The sequence below is a fragment of the Homo sapiens genome, chromosome 3, assembly GCF_000001405.40.
Source record: "Homo sapiens chromosome 3, GRCh38.p14 Primary Assembly".
In the NCBI taxonomy this organism is placed as follows: Eukaryota; Metazoa; Chordata; class Mammalia; order Primates; family Hominidae; genus Homo; species Homo sapiens.
In genome coordinates, this window is record NC_000003.12 from 35214936 (window position 1) to 35233327 (window position 18392).

Genomic DNA, 18392 nt, shown 5'->3' on the forward strand with positions numbered 1-18392 from the left:
AACAATATCAACATGAATTTTAGGATCAATTTGCAATGTGCACCAAAAAAAAAATAGCTTAGATTTTGATAGGAATTTTGTTGAATCTATAGATAAACTTGGGAAGTATCACCATCCTGACAATATTAAATCTTCTGATCTATAAAAATGGAATGACTTTTCACTTATTTAGGTCTTCTTTAATTTCCTTAACAATGCTTTATAGTTTTCAGAATAATTTTTGCATATCTTTTATTAAATTAATTCCTAAGTGTGTTGACCATGTAGATTTTTCACAGATGCTTGCCCTTCAAGCATTTTATAAATGAGGGTTGAATTTTATAAAATTCATTTCCTGAACATATTGGGAAGTTTTTGTATTTTATTCTGCTGAAATAGTGTACCAGTTGATACAAATTAATTGATTAATACATTAATTGATTTTAGGGTATTCAAAAATTGCATATCTGGGATAAATCCCAGTTGGTCATGTATAATCCTTTTATGTTGCTGGATTTGGTTTTCTTTTTTTTCCTTTTTTTTTTTGCAGAGCCAGCTGAGGTTTTATTTTGCACCAAAAACAAACAAACAAACAAAAAAACAAAAAAACAAATTGAATTGTTTTGTAGTTGGAGGCATGGGCAAAGGGGTCCCCAGGGAGTAAACTACCCCCGAGGGTGGGCTGAGAGCTAGGGCTGAGCCTTAAGTGGGTCTCCTGTTCCCTGTGCTCCCCTGCACTCTGGGGCAGCTGCAGGAAGGGCAGGCTGGGAGGGACTGCTGCAGCTGTTCACTTGGGCAAAACGTCGGGGGACTCGGACACCAGCTTCCCATCGCAGGTCTCGACCTTCTTCACAAGCACGGCCCTGGTGGAGCTGGTGCGGCTGAAGGAGCTGGAGCCCGCACCAGAGCCAAAGCTGGAGCCTGGCCCATAGCCGAGGCTGGGGCTTGTGAAGCCCCCATAGGACGAGCTCAGGCCACCTACATAGCAGCTGGTGGTCTTAGTATGGATACTCATGTTCTGCATCCCAGACTCCAGCCGGCTCTCCTCACCCTCCAGCAGCTTCTTGCAGGTGGTGATCTTGATGCCCAGGGCCAGCTTGACGTTCATCATCTCCTGGTACTCATGCAGCTGCTGCCCCATGTCCTGCTTGGCCCGCTGCAGGGCGGCTTCCAGCTCGGACAGCTTGGCGTTGGCATACTTAACTGCCAGCTCCCCAGGCTGCTCGGCATCTGTGATGGAGGCCTCCAGGGAAGCCCTCTGGCCTTTGAGGCCCTCAATCTCAGCCTGGAGCTGGCTGATGTTCTGGTTCATCTTGAAGATCTCAGTCTTTGTATGCTGCAGATCATCCTGGTGCTTCCCAGCCAGCGTCTGCAGCTCCTCATACCTGATCCGGTGCATGCTCTAAGCCTCGGCCCGGATGCGGTTGGCGATCTCCTCCTACTGCGCCTTGATCTCAGCGATGACACTGTCCGTGTCTAGGGAGCGACAATTGTCCATGGACAGCACCACAGACGTGTCCGAGATCTGGGACTGCAACTGCGAGATCTCCTCTTCACACAGCTGCCTGAGGAAGTTGATCTCCTCAGTCAGCCCTTCCAGGTGAGACTCCAGCTCTACCTTGTTCATGTAAGTTTCATCCACTTCCTTCTTGTTGAGGAAAAATTCATTCTCCATCCTGTACGCTTATTGATCTCATCCTCATACTTGTTCTTGAAGTCCTCCACCGGCCCCTGCATGTTGCCAAGCTCCGCCTCCAGCTTCAGCTTCTCCTAGACCAGAGTCTCCAGCTGCCGCCTAAGGTTGTTGATGTAGCTCTCAAACATGTTGTCCATGTTGCTCCGAGCCGTCTTCAGCTGCCGCAGGAGGCTCCACTTGGTCTCCAGCATCTTGTTCTTCTGCTCCAGGAATCGTACCTTGTCGATGAAGGAGGCAAACTTGTTGAGGGTCTTGATCTGCTCCTTCTCCTGGGTGTGCACAACATGGATGTTGGGGTCCATCTCCAGGCTAAGGGGGCTTAGCAGGCTCTGGCTGACCGTGACGGTGGTGATGCCTCCCATGCTGCTGGCCCCAGCATAGCTTCTGCCCAGGCCACCCTGGGAGCTTCTGCTGCCCACTGGGGAGAAGCTCCAGGAGCTGATGTGGGCACCGGGCCCTCTCGTGTAGGAGTGGCTGCTGAAGGCTCGGGGGCCAGAGGTGGATACCTTGCAGGACTTCTGGGTCACCGCGTTGGACATGGTGGAGGCAGGAGTGGAGGCAGGCGGGCTGAACCAGGCAGAAACTCCAGAAGGAGCAGAGAACCTGCTTCTTGGTCTGGGTTTGGTTTTCTAGTAATTTGTTGCGGACTTTTTTCTCTTTATTTATTAAAATTTTGTTCTCCAGTTTTCTTATAATTTGTCTTGTTTGATATTAAGATAATAATTTTCTCATCCAACGAGTTGGATGAGAAAATTTTGTTTCTCATCTGAGTGTTTTGTTTTTTGCAAGAATAGGTGAAATATTGTTATTAACTCTTCTTGAAATGTTTGGAAGAATTCACCAGTAAAACTATCTTGGCTTGGAAACTTTGTGAAAAGTTTTTAAAACTATTATTCATCTCTTTCCTTGTATAGGTCTGTTAATATTTTTATTACATCTTGAATCAGTTTTGATCATTAGTATCTTTCTAAAACTTTGTTATTTTTAAGCTGATTTTTCTAACTTTATGGCATATTTTTTTCATGGTATTTTCTTATAATTATTTTTATTTCTATAAGCTCTGTATTAATGTTCCTTCTTTTTCAGATTTTTGTAATTTGAGTTATTCTTTTTCTTGGACAGTCTAGCTAAATAGCTAAAAGTTGGTCCATTTTCATTTCTATTTTCAAAGAATCAACTTTCAATTTTGATGATTTATTTACTCTTTATAAAAGTTAAACAAATAAAAAAACAAAAAGAATTCTCTATTTCATTAATTTTTACTGAGATCTTTATTATTTGCTTTTTCTGCTTGCTTTAGGTTTGGTTTGCTCTTTTTTCCCCAATAGCTTATGGTGGAAAGTTAGATTATTGATTGAAGTTTTGTCTTCTTTTTTAACATAGGCATTTAGAGCTTTTCTTTTCCCTCTAAGCACTGCTTTAGCTGCATCTCCTTTGTGTATGCATATACATGTGTTTCAATGTAGAATTGAATTACTTTCTAAGATTACTTGATATCATCCAGAAGTACTTCCTTTAACATTTTTTAAAAGATGAGTCAGTTAGCAATGAATTCTATCAGTTCTGTTTACCTGGGAATAGCTTCATTTTACCTTTATATTTTTCAACTTTTTAATATCTTATATTAGTATGGTATGTTTGTCACAATTAAGTAATCAGTAATAATATAGTCTTATTAACTAAAGTCCATAGTTTATTCAGATTTCCTTTGTTTTTACCTAACATTCTTTTTGTTTCCCAGGGTTCCACCTAAGCTATCATATTACATAATTTTTATGTTTCCTTACGTTTTCCCCTAACAGTGACAGTGTCTTAGAACTTCCTTGTTTTTAATGACCTTGACAGTTTTCAGGTATACTGATTAGGTTTGCCACAGCATGCCACTATTGGAGTTTTTCTGATGCTTTACTTATGAGTAGACTGGAATAATGCATGTTTTTCTTCATTTTTGAAAGGTAGTTTTATTGGATATAAGATTTTTGATTGACAGTTGCTTTTCTTTTCTTTTAGTAGTTTGAATATTGTTTCTTATGAGAAGTCAGCTGTTATTCTCATTGGGATTCCTTTTATGAGTAGTCATTTGCTCTTACTGCTTTCAAGATTTTCTCTTTGTCTGTGTCATTGATGCCATGATGGCTCTGATACAGATCACTTTGTTGCTAATCTACCTGGCATTTCTCTCAGTTCTTTTATTGGTTGGTTGTTTTCTTCATCTAGTTTGGGAAGCTCTCAGCCTTTATTTCTCGAATATTTTTTCTGCTTTTTTGTCTCTCTCCTTTCCTGCTACTCTTATTCTTGGTAAACTACATGGAATCCTGAATTTCTCTGAGCTCCGTTAATTTATTTTTAGTTTTATTTTAGTTATGTATTTCTAACAGTATAATGCCTAATGATCTCTCTTTAAATCCACTGATTCCTTTTTTGCCATTTCAAATCTACTTTAGCTCCTCTAGCAAATTTTTGAATTTTACTTGTATTACTTTTTAACTCTAAACTTTATATATTTTTAAACAATTTCAGTTACTTCACTAATGTTTCCTATTCAATGAAACACTGTAATCATGGCTTTTCTTAATTCTTAAACATAGTTTTCTTTAGTTCTTTGAATATATTTATGATAGATAGCTGCTTTGAAGTTTCTTCTGTTGAATTGCACACCTGGGCCTCTTCACAGTCAGTTTGTGTTTTCTACTTTTTTTTTTTTTTCATGCATGGGTCATATATCCCTGTTTCTTTGTATGCCTTATTTTGTTGTTGTTAAAAATTGGGGGATTTTAGGTAATATATTATGGCAACTCTAGAGAGCGACCGCACTCCTCTAGAGCTTGATGTTATTATTGTTTGCTTGTTTATTTGTTTAGTGACCTGGCTGGACTATTTTAGTGAAGGCTAAATCCCTGCAGTGTGAAGCTTCTAATATCACTCAAGCTTTGGGCTTGTACAAGGTTACCCTGGGATGACTGTTGTTTTAACAGAACTGTCTTTAGCTATCTCTTTTCTTGATATCTCTATTTAGCTGTCTGCCTCTGTTGGTATCACACACAGCTGTTAGACTCCAGAAAGAGCCAGTAAATTGCTGTATTTTTTTCAACGATGCTCTGGAACATAAATTGCTCCACGATTATAGCCAATTAAATTCAGGTCCCCCTGTAGGGGTAGTTTTTGGGGCCAGTCTTTGGTGTTTCTTCTAACACCCAGAGAGCTCATCTAAGCTGCCTTTCCCCCTGATTCTCTCTGGTAAAATAACTGAGCTATAGTTTAGCTTGGTGCTTTTGTGGAGTTACAAGCCTCCACTTAATTAACACCAAAAATCACTGTTTTCAAGAGTACCCTTAGTCTTGAATTCTTCCATAGTGTGTTCTAAATAATGTCAGTTAGTTCTTTTAGGGAGAACTTCAGAGATGTCTGTTCTTATGACCTGCCTCGTCCTGAAGAAAATCTCCATCCCATTACTCCTGACCTGCGAGTATGACTTTACTTAGCTTGTCCCTTTGGGCATGGAATCTCCCCCTCAAGTGGGCTAAGGAGAAGGTGACTGAGGACTTAATAATCTGGCCTGCCACTTCTGAAATAGAGATGGAACCTTGTAAGCGGGGAGTAAATATAGGAAGAGAGCCCCTACTCTAAACTGCCTCATCTGAAATTTAATCTCTGCATTACAGAGATAGGTGATTAGAGTGAGAATGATCTTCTTGGCCATGCCCATTTGGAGCAAAGTTTCTGTCACACTGAGCTAGGGTTGGAGAGAGCAGCAGTTTTGCTCTTCTTACTTTTGCTCTTCAAACAGTTTTGCTCTTCAAACTTTTGCTCTTCTTACTAAGATGTACTAGATTTTCTTGAATAAATATTCTTCACATGCTGTATGCCATTATGACAATTTCTGGGGACTTTAAATAGTTGCTTTAGAAATTATTTTCATCACTTATGATTGTTTCACTGAGTAATAGGTCTACAGAGCTCTTCACACTGATATGCCATAAGTAGATTCTCTTTTTTCCCTATATGTCTTTCATTTATATAATCCAAGCTTTAAATATCCACAATACTCTAAATGTGTAAATATCAATTGCTGTGTGGTTTATTTCTAGAATATCTCTAGCTCATTTTCAGATGTTTAGGTAATTTTTTATAGTCCCTAATCCCTACACTTATTTTCGAGTTTGCTTCTAGTTTATTTAAACTTGGTCATTATAGACTGTTTTATAATCTCTCTCATATTTTTGTGGTAAAATATATATACCATAACATTTACCATTTTAACAATTTTAAGTATACATTCAGTAGTAGTAAACACACGTACTTTGTTGTGCTCTCATAATTTTAGTATATGATTCTTTCTATGTTATTTCTGGTTTTGTTCATGATACCTACTTTCGTGTGTTTGGTGAGTTTTTAAGGTGAATTCCTGATTTTCCTGCAAACATATTTTTAGGGAAACCCACATTAGAAATCCTGTAAATGACCTCTGTGTCCCTGCCTTCTACTCCATGAACCTACATCCTTAAGAAGAAAACAAACTTGTGTATGCACTGGTCAATATAATCCTATCTTCTCTTCCTCCTTTAGGAATTGTGCACAATTTCGGAAGCACAAAGAAGTCTATATTTTGTATTCCAGCAAATAGTAATAAACTTATTTATTTTAATAGCTTTTGGAAAATAATAGTAAAATTTAACATGTGTTTGGGCAAATAATTTGAAATCAATATATGACGTATTGATAATATATGTATGACTTCGAAAATCAGAAAGTTAAGAGTGAATTATTCAATAAATTGTGTTAAGGCAATCATGTAACAGTTTGAACAACTGGGAACAATTTTTAGATCAAGTTTAAGAGGCAGGCTTCTTTAATCATAAAACAAACAGGAAAAAAATGATATATTTGACAATGTAAAATTGAATATTTCAACATCAAAAATGTCATAAATAACTGCAAAACACATAGAATTGGGAAAATAAGTTTAGAATATTTGTTTTCATATTGGAAAATCTTAATAATACAAATGATACAATGCAAGCTGTAAATATCATCACATTTGAGAATAATTATTATTTGCAGAAAACATAATTGAATACAATGATACTGTATATAGATATCAACTGAAAAATTACTTGAAATAATAATGCTAATGTAGCAAAGTTTAATCATATTAATGTTTAAAACATAAACTTTCCTGTATATGGCTTAGTTTAGACATATGATCAGATAAAGTTCATTTGACCTAATATCGAAAATATAAATTATCCAGAAAAAAATATTAAAAAGAAATATATAGGACACATACTAAAAGAAGCTTTAATTTACTTCCTAAAAGAGAAAAATGGGTAAGTTAAAACATAGTTTTGGACAAAAATATTTTAAACATGCCAGTTCTTCCTAAAATAAAATCACTTACAAACACGTATATATAATTAGGACACCCACAGGAGAAGAAGGAATATTGAGGGAGGAAATTGAAAAATACTACTAAAGATTACCCAAAAGAATATAAAGCCCTATAAAATATGAGTAATGGGAGAAGTCTAGTTTTAGTAAATATCAAAAAGTTAACAGTATTACACACAACCAAAGTAGATGAATGAACTGGACTAGAGAGTCTAATAATAGATCCTAATCTATGTGGAACATAGAATATGAGCTTTAAAGCACTGTGGGAAAAAATGTATCAAATTAATAATAAAAGAACAGGGGACTAACTAGCTCTTTGAGGGAAGATTGTACAGCTGGATATTTTTACCAAAATCATATGGATGATTCCAATTTTAAAATAAAGAAATGTAGAATAAGCAGAAATTATTGAATAATTAATTAACCTTCAATATCTCACAATCCTTATACCTTTGAGCATGTTGTGAAACTAGAACATATTCTAGTTTCTATGTTCTAGAAGAATATATAGATACATTGAATATATAGATACATTGAGAAGAATATATAGATACATTGAGATTCACATGATAAAATGATCTTTCTGGCAAAAACAATACCACAAACAAAGTCAGATACAAAAATACAAATTGGAAAAAATGAAAAACAGATAGTAGACAATGGGTAATATCTTCACATGCAATAATCCTTTTAAATCTTAAATCATAAAATAAACCTGCATTTACCAATATCAAATTGAAGAAATTTTATGTTAGACATTCCACTGGGCAAATATCAATAGAATTTAAACATGAGAAAAAATAGTCAACTTTATTAGAACTTCAAAAGTGGTCAAAGTAATACCAGTTTAAAATATGCCATTTTTCAATGACAAATATTTAAAATTATAATACACAGTAGGGCAAAACTTTGGGGGAAAAAACACATTCATTTATACATGGTAATACATGACAGGGATGTAAATTGGAACAATCTCTGTAAATGGCAATTTTTCATTGCATATTAACAGAATTAAAAAGTGCACTCAATTTGACCTAACAGTTTCACTTTAATTCTTGCAAACGTAATAGGCATCATAGTTCTTCACTGACAAACATTTATTGAGTATGTTCTATATGCTAGTCACAGTGATGAGCATATTACAAACATCATCTTATCTAACACCTGAGAAACTACTATGAAATAGGAAACTCATGCTATCTTGAGTTTCACCTGAGAACACTGAGTGAAACAAATATATTTCTCAAATATAGTAAAGCTACTTAGATCCAGAGCAAGATAAACCCAGAACCTCTTAACTTCAGAATGCATAATTTAAACATTATTCTATACTACTGGCACATAGCATGCACTAGAAAGTAGTAACAGTTATTGTATTGGAAATTCTTGGAACTCTATAGATAATACGTGTGTATGTATATATATATGCATATATATGTTTGTGTACATATAGCTATATACATATGTGTATATATGTGTAAAGATCTATATGTGTTTATGTATATGTGTTTATCTATCTATCTAATATGATATTCTGTAGTCATATACATAGTGGAAGCTGGATGATGACTTTAAACAATGGAGATAATTTTTGAGTAGGTAAGTGACAGGGTTAAGCAGTGTGTGTGTGTGTGTGTGTGTGTGTGTGTGTGTCCATGCATGTGTGCGTGTGTGATGGTTAGTATGGTGAGACTACATAAGAAGGATCTGATATACTAAAAATTGAATGTGAGAAGAAAGACTAGCAGCTGCACATATAACCTGAAGTACCATAATAAAATTTGGGATAAGGAAGCAAGGCCAACTCTGAGAGGGATTTCACAATATGAGAGCTGATGTGGTAATTTATTGACTCTCACATCAGAGGGACAAGAAGAGTGAGAGAGGAATTAACATTGTTTGTACCTGCAGATAAGTTTTCTTAGAAGTTTTTCAGAATACTTCTGAACAACCTCTTTGATAAATGATGATAAGAGTAAAGCCAGAGTACTGCTTTTTTTCTCAAGACATATATTCTGCCAAGAGTAGGAAACAGGTAGAAACTATTTCCATGTTTTATTTTTATTTTTAAAAGGTTCTAGTGTTCCAATGCAAAAATCACAATGATTTGAGCAATGTACAGTGAAAGGAAGGCTTCATTGAATTAGCAATTTAAACTTGTGTTATGTTAGCATCCTGTTGAATTATTACTCATCCTTGCTAATATAGCATTTAACAAGGAATTACACTGTCATGCCAGACTAGTGTAAAAAGAAACTTTAATGGGGCATGATGTGAAAGCTATTATGACAGATACTATTATAAGTATATGCAATCTTTCCAACAATACTATTTTGGATTTTCCTATAGGTATTGTGATCAAATTGGGGCTGGGGGGCACTGAGACAATTGAGAATGAAGAGAATTTGTGTAGCTGAGTAGCCTGAGTGCCCTTGAATACGATATTTTTGAGAGAACTAAATTATTTTTGTCAGCCCTCCTTGGAAAATTTCCAGATGTATTGAAATAATAAAATTTTGGGCTTCTATTAACCTGTTTATTATTTTATTTTCTTATTTGAAAATCAATGCAATAACTTGTAGTCTAGTGGCAGGATGGCTAATGGATTATTCTTAAACACTTTGGATGACCCGAAATGTGTAGGATATTTTTATTCTAAATAAAGAATTTACAGTGGGCCAAGTGACTCAATAAGCTAGTGATGTGGAACTTAATTTGGTTAAGTAGCAAACAGCCCTTGTGTTGTTTTCATATGTGTACAGTGGGGAATAATTAAGGTGACGTCACTGGAAATCTGCTGACCTTCAGGAAAAATGCTGCAGTTTCTTTCCAAGTGTCTAAAAGTGAAGATAGGCAATGTTTGGTTTCTCTCATGATCACTCAGTTTTGTGATCTATATGAATGATAAAATTTGAAGAAATATTGGAAAAACATTAAAAATTTCTTAATGTTTAAGAACTCAACTTTGTCATTCTATCATTAATATTATCTCCTTTCCTCTCCTCCACATAATACCAAAGCATGCAATTCCAACTCGTCTGAATTCCTTTCTCATGCTCCTCATCTGAGACTGCATTCTTACAGTATTTACCTTCAGAGGTTGGTACACATGCCATTCACTTTAGGAAACATTATCCACCTCTTCCTTTCATTTACCTCTTCCAAGGCCTGATTTAAAATCATCCTTCTTCAGAGATATTTTTCCAATATTTGTTTATTTTCTTACTCTGCACCCATGGCCTGCCTCATCTTTCATTTGATATATGACCTTTCATTTTTTATAGAATTGTGATTGCCCTAAAGCTTAGTCTCCAGATTTGTTCCAATCCATTTGTTCTCATTGTGACTGATACCAGCCTCTCTCTGAGGTACATTCAGCTTTGATGGTGCTAGTTGGTCCCATTTCAGGGATGCTTCCTTAGAAAATAGAACACAAAATTATGAATAAAATATTGGTATAAATTAGCCTTTACTTAGAATGAGAAAAAAAATCATGCCAAATATATGTTTTAAAAGTTGGGCCGGGTGCGGTGGCTCATGCCTATAATCCCAGCACTTTTGGAGGCTGAGGTGGGTGAATCACCAGAAGTCAGGAGTTCCAGGTCAGCCTGGCCAACATGGTGAAACCCTGTCTCTACTAAAAATACAAAAAATTAGCCAGGCATTGTGGCAGGCGCCTGTAATCCCTGCTACTTGGGAGGCTGAGGCAGGAGAATTGCTTGAACCTGGGAGGTGGTGGTGCAGTGATCTGAGATTGTGCCATTGCACTCCAGCCTGGGCGACAGAGCGAGACTCCATCTCAAAAAAAAAAAAAAAGGTGGAGCCAAGATGGCCGAATCGGAACAGCTCCAGTCTACAGCTCCCAGCATGAGCGACGCAGAAGATGGGTGATTTCTGCATTTCCAACTGAGGTACTGGGTGCATCTCACTGGGGAGTGCCGGACAGTGGGTGCAGGACAGTGGGTGCAGCGCACCATGCGTGAGTCAAAGCAGGGCAAGGCATTGCCTCACCTGGGAAGTGCAAGGGGTCAGGGAATTCCCTTTCCTAGACAAAGAAAGGGGTGACAGACGGCACCTGGAAAATCGGGTCACTCCCACCCTAATACTGTGCTTTTCCGATGGGCTTAAAAAACGACACACCAGGAAATTATATCCCGCACCTGGCTTGGAGGGTCCTACACCCACGGAGCCTCACTTGTTGCTAGCACAGCAGTCTGAGATCAAACTGCAAGGTGGCAGCCAGGCTGGGGGAGGGGCACCTGCCATTGCCCAGGCTTGATTATGTAAACAAAGCAGCCTGGAAGCTCGAACTGGGTGGAGGCCACCACGGCTCAAGGAGTCCTGCCTGCCTCTGTAGGCTCCACCTCTGGGGGCAGGGCACAGACAAACAAAAGGCAGCAGTAACCTCTGCAGACTTAAATGTCCCTGTTGGACAGCTTTGAAGAGAGGAGTGGTTCTCCTAGCACCCAGCTGGATATCTGAGAACAGGCAGACTGCCTCCTCAAGTGGGTCCCTGACCCCCGAGTAGCCTAACTGGGAGGCACCCCCCAGTTGGGGCAGACTGACACCTCACACAGCCGGGTACTCCTCTGAGACAAAACTTCCAGAGGAACGATCAGGCGGCAGGATTTGCGGTTCACCAAAATCCACTGTTCTGCAGCTACCACTGCTGATACCCAGGCAAACAGCATCTGGAGCAGACCTCCAGCAAACTCAAACAGATCTGCATCTGAGGGTCCTGACTGTTAGAAGGAAAACTAACAAACGAAAGGACATCCACACCAAAAACCCATCTGTACGTCAGCATCATCAAAGACCAAAAGTAGATAAAACCACAAAGATGGGGAAAAAACAGAGCAGAAAAACCAGAAACTCTAAAAATCAGAGCACCTCTCCTCCTCTAAAGGAACGCCACTCCTCACCAGCAATGGAACAAAGCTGGACAGAGAATGACTTTGACAAGTTGAGAGAAGAAGCCTTCAGAAGATCGAACTACTCTGAGCTAAAGGAGGAAGTTCAAACCAACGGCAAAGAAGTTAAAAACCTTGAAAAAAAATTAGACGAATGGCTACCTAGAATAACCAATGCAGAAAAGTCCTTAAAGGATCTGATGGAGCTGAAAACCATAGCATGAGAACTACGTGATGAATGCACAAGCCTCAGTAGCCGATGCAATCAACGGGAAGAAAGGGTATCAGTGATGGAAGACGAAATGAATGAAATGAAGCGAGAAGAGAAGTTTAGAGAAAAAAGAACAAAAAGAAATGAAAAAGCCTCCAAGAAATATGGGACTATGTGAAAAGACCAAATTTACATCTGACTGGTGCACCTGAAAGTGATGGGAAGAATGGAACCAAGTTGGAAAACACTCTGCAGGATATTATGCAGGAGAATTCCCCAGTCTAGCAAGGCAGGCCAACATTCAAATTCAGGAAATACAGAGAACATCACAAAGATACTCCTCGAGAAGAGCAACTCCAAGACACATAATTGTCAGATTCACCAAAGTTGAAATGAAGGAAAAAATGTTAAGGGCATCCAGAGAGAAAGGTCAGGTTACCCACAAAGGGAAGCCCATCAGACTAACAGCAGACCTCTCGGCAGAAACTCTACAAGCCAGAAGAAAGTGGGGGCCAATATTCAACATTCTTAAAGAAAAGAATTTTCAACCCAGAATTTCATATCCAGCCAAACTAAGCTTCATATGTGAAGGAGAAATAAAATACTGTACAGACAAGCAAATGCTGAGAGATTCTGTCACCACCAGGCCTGCCCTAAAAGAGCTGCTGAAGGAAGCACTAAACATGGAAAGGAACAAACTGTACCAGCCACTGCAAAAACATGCCAAATTGTAAAGACCACCAAGGCTAGGAAGAAACTGCATCAACTAATGAGCAAAATAACCAGCTAACATCATAATGACAGGGTCAAATTCACACATAACAATATTAACCTTAAATGTAAATGGGCTAAATGCTCCAATTAAAAGACACAAACTGGCAAATTGGATAAAGAGTCAAGACCCATCAGTGTGCTGTATTCAGGAGACCCATCTCACATGCAGAGACACACATAGGCTCAAAATAAAAGGATGGAAGAAGATCTACCAAGCAAATGGAAAACAAAAAAAAGCAGGGGTTGCAATCCTAGTCTCTGATAAAACAGACTTTAAACCAACAAAGATCAAAAGAGACAAAGAAGGCCATTACATAATAGTAAAGGGATCAATTCAACAAGAAGAGCTAACTATCCTAAATATATATGCACCCAATACAGGAGCACCCAGATTCATAAAGCTAGTCCTGAGTGACCTACAAAGAGACTTAGACTCCCACACAATAATAATGGGAGACTTTAATACCCCACTGTCAACATTAGACAGATCAACGAGACAGAAAGTTAACAAGGATATCCAGGAATTGAACTCAGCTCTGCACCAAGCATACCGAATAGACATCTACAGAACTCTCCACCTCAAATCAACAGAATATACATTCTTTTTAGTACCACACCACACCTATTCCAAAATTGACCACATAGTTGGAAGTAAAGCACTCCTCAGCAAATGTGAAAGAACAGAAATTATAACAAACTGTCTCTCAGACCACAGTGCAATCAAACTAGAACTCAGGATTAAGAAACTCACTCAAAACTGCTCAACTACATGGAAACTGAACAACCTGCTCCTGAATGACTACTGGGTACATAAAGAAATGAAGGCAGAAATAAAGATGTTCTTTGAAACCAATGAGAATAAAGACACAACATACCAGAATCTCTGGGACACATTCAAAGCAGTGTGTAGAGGGAAATTTATAGCACTAAATGCCCACAAGAGAAAGCAGGAAAGATCTAAAACTGACACCCTAACATCACAATTAAAAGAACTAGAGAAGCAAGAGCAAACACATTCAAAAGCTAGCAGAAGGCAAGAAATAACTAAGATCAGAGCAGAACTGAAGGAAATAGAGACACAAAAAACCCTTCAAAAAATCAATGAATCCAGGAGCTGTTTTTTTTAAAAGATCAACAAAACTGATAGACCGCTAGCCAGACTAATAAAGAAGAAAAGAGAGAAGAATCAAATAGACACAATAAAAAATGACAAAGGGGATATCACCACCGATCCCACAGAAATACAAACTACCATCAGAGAATACTACAAACACCTCTATGCAAATAAACAGAAAATCTAGAAGAAATGGATAAATTCCTCGACACATACACTCTCCCAAGACTAAACCAGGAAGAAGTTGAATCTCTGAATAGACCAATAACAGGAGCTGAAATTGAGGCAATAATGAATAGCTTACCAACCAAAAAAAGTCCAGGACCAGATGGATTCACAGCTGAATTCTACCAGAGGTACAAGGAGTAGCTGGTACCATTCCTTCTGAAACTACTCCAATCAATAGAAAAAGAGGGAATCCTCCCCAACTCATTTTATGAGGCCAGCATCATCCTGATACCAAAGCATGGCAGAGACACAACCAAAAAAGAGAATTTTAGACCAATATCCTTGATGAACACTGATGCAAAAATCCTCAATAAAATACTGGCAAACCAAACCCAGCAGCACATCAAAAAGCTTATCCACCATGATCAAGTGGGCTTCATCCCTGGGATGTAAGGCTGGTTCAATATACGCACATCAATAAATGTAATCCAGCATATAAGCAGAACCAAAGACAAAAACCACATGATTATCTCAATAGATGCAGAAAAGGCCTTTGACAAAATTCAACAACCCTTCATGCTAAAAACTCCCAATAAATTAGGTATTGATGGGACGTACCTCAAAATATTAAGAGCTATCTATGACAAACCCACAGCCAATAACATACTGAATGGACAAAAACTGGAAGCATTCCCTTTGAAAACTGGCACAAGACAGGGATGCCCTCTCTCACCACTCCTATTCAACATAGTGTTGGAAGTTCTAGCCAGGGAAATCAGGCAGGAGAAGGAAATAAAGCGCATTCAATTAGGAAAAGAGGAAGTCAAATTATCCCTGTTTGCAGATGACATGATTGTATATCTAGAAAACCCCATTGTCTCAGCCCAAAATCTCCTTAAGCTGATAAGCAACTTCAGCAAAGTCTCAGGATAAAAAATCAATGTGCAAAAATCACCAGCATTCTTACACACCAATAACAGACAAACAGCCAAATCATGAGTGAACTCCCATTCACAATTGCTTCAAAAAGAATAAAATACCTAGGAATCCAACTTACAAGGGATGTGAAGGACCTCTTCAAGGAGAACTACAAACCACTGCTCAATGAAATAAAAGAGGATACAAACAAATGGAAGAACATTCCATGCTCACGGGTAGGAAGAATCAATATCATGAAAATGGCCATACTGACCAAGGTAATTTATAGATTCAATGCCATCCCCATCAAGCTACCAATGACTTTCTTCACAGAACTGGAAAAAACTACTTTCAAGTTCATACGGAACCAAAAAAGAGCCCACATTGCCAAGTCAATCCTAAGCCAAAAGAACAAAGCCGGAGGCATCACGCTACCTGACTTCAAACTATACTACAAGGCTACAGTAACCAAAACAGCATGGTACTGGTACCAAAACACAGATATAGATCAATGGAACAGAACAGAGCTCTCAGAAATAATGCCGCATATCTACAACCATCTGATATTTGACAAACCTGACAGAAACAAGCCATGGGGAAAGGATTCCCTATTTAATAAACGGTGGTGGGAAAACTGGCTAGACATATGTGGAAAGCTGAAACTGGATCCCTTCCTTACACCTTATACAAAAATTAATTCAAGATGGAGTAAAGACTTAAATGTTAGACCTAAAACCATAAAAACCCTAGAAGAAAACCTAGGCAATACCATTCAGGACATAGGCACAGGCAAGGACTTCATGTCTAAAACACCAAAAGCAATGGCAACAGAAGCCAAAATTGACAAATGGGATCTAATTAAACTAAAGAGCTTCTGCACAGCAAAAGAAACTACCATCAGAGTGAACAGGCAACCTACAGAATGGGAGAAAAATTTTGCAACGTACTCATCTGACAAAGGGCTAATATGCAGAATCTACAATGAACTCAAACAAATTTACAAGAAAAAAACAAACAACCCCATCAAAAAGTGGGCAAAGGATATGAACAGACACTTCTCAAAAGAAGACATTTACGCAGTCAAAAAAACACATGAAAAAATGCTCATCATCACTGGCCATCAGAGAAATGCAAATCAAAACCACAATGAGATACCATCTCACACCACTTAGAATGGTAATCATTAAAAAGTCAGGAAACAACAGGTGCTGGAGAGAATGTGGAGAAACAGCAACACTTTTACACTGTTGGTGGGACTGTAAACTAGTTCAACCATTGTGGAAGTCAGTGTGGCGATTCCTCAGGGATCTACAACAAGAAATACCATTTGACCCAGCCATCCCATTACTGGGTATATACCCAAAGGATTATAAATCATGCTGCTATAAAGACACATGCACATGTATGTTTATTGCGGCACTATTCACAATAGCAAAGACTTCGAACCAAGCCAAATGTCCAACAATGATAGGCTGGATTAAGAAAATGTGGCACATATACACCATGGAATACTATGCAGCCATCAAAAAGGATGAGTTCATGTCCTTTGTAGGGACATGGATGAAGCTGGAAACCATCATTCTCAGCAAACTATCACAAAGACAAAAAACCAAACACCGCATGTTCTCACTCATAGGTGGGAATTGAACAATGAGAACATATGGACACAGGAAGGGGAACATCACATACCGGGGACTGTTGTGGGGTGGGGAGAGGTGGGAAGGATAGCATTAGGAGATATACCTAATGCTAAATGACGAGTTAATGGGTGCAGCACACCAACATGTGTAACAAACCTCCACGTTGTGCACATGTACCCTAAAACTTAAAGTATAATAATAATACAATTTTTTAAAAAGTTATGAATACCATAAACTTTGTGAGCACAAAATACTGTCATTACTGAGTAACTGCCTGTTATATCTCTATGATGCTTTTCCATATATTTTGGCTCTATATTCTTTGATTATTTGTTAGTCTTTTCATATAGAAATTGTTTTGTGCTTTGTTCTATAGAAAGAATGGGAAAGTAATTCAGTACTTTCTCTCTACCACAGTTCCTTAAAAATCTGTTGTTATTATTTGTTGTGGAAGTAACAGTGGTAGTAGACATAAAAATTTAGAAAATTTTTCTTCCACTTTAGGACCCATTTTGGATAATGTCATGTTTTTAGAAATATAGTCAAAAAGACTTTATCAAATCTATTTAATACATAAATTGTAACATTGCAAGTCATTTCAAGTTTTCTCATGCAGTGTAATAAATATGCTTAGAAATGACCACACTCATAACCAATGTGTTTTCAATGTCCTTATTTAGTGGCATATACTTTTTGATGTTATCTGCACTCATGTTAGTATTTGTATCAAATCAGCAAGAAACTATTATTTTTTCAGTATGTTCCCATGTTTCAAATCTTTTCATCAAAGGGGATCATTAAGCAATTCAAAGATCTCCACATAACTTCTATTTGAGAGGGATCTCTTTTTCTTAATGAACTACTACTTTTATGTGATGTAACCATTGTAGGTTCACATTTGCTTCTCTAAGTAAAAATATTTATAGTTTTATTATTTTGGATTCTTAAACGAGATTCATGCAGGCCAGGGTCTTGAAGCATAAGTTCCTTTTTTTTTTTTTTTTTTTTTTTCAAATGAAATTTCGCTCTTGTCGCGCAGGCTGGAGTGCAATGGCACGATCTCAGCTCACTGCAACCTCCGTCTCCTAGGTTCAAGTGATTCTCCTGCCTCAGCCTCCTGAGTAGCTGGGATTACAAGGACGTACCACCAGTCCTGGCTAATTTTTATATTTTTAGTAGAGATGGGATTTCACCACGTTGGCCAGGCTGGTCTCAAACTCCTGACCACAGGTGACCCACCTGCCTCGGTCTCCCAAAGTGCTGAGATTACAGGTGTGAGACACCATGCCCGGCCGAAGCATAAGTTCTTTACTGTCATCAGAGATCATTTACCTCTGATTCTTCCCTTCTCATGTGACATGACATTTTAATCTGGTGTAGAGAGGACAGAGATTGATTGGGCATAGAGAAACTTAAGTAAACTTACTCAACTTGTCAAAAAGTGTGTCTGCAACAGATGAGAATATAAATGAAGGTATCATTAGGCAAGAGTATGATTTTATCAGCCAAGTTTGAAAAGGACTGAATAAACACAAGAAATCAGAGATATGATATTATGTAAGAGAATGAGAGTTCATGTGCATGCATTCAA

The 18392-nt window shown here is 38.0% G+C and overlaps 1 long non-coding RNA gene and 1 pseudogene across 1 annotated transcript in view; both read right to left on the reverse strand.

Moving 5' to 3' along the window:
• LOC101928135 (uncharacterized) overlaps positions 1-18392 on the reverse strand; it is a 518229-nt gene that overhangs the window by 339141 nt on the left and 160696 nt on the right. The window lies entirely within an intron of this gene.
• On the reverse strand, positions 523-15699 carry KRT8P18 (keratin 8 pseudogene 18; annotated as a pseudogene).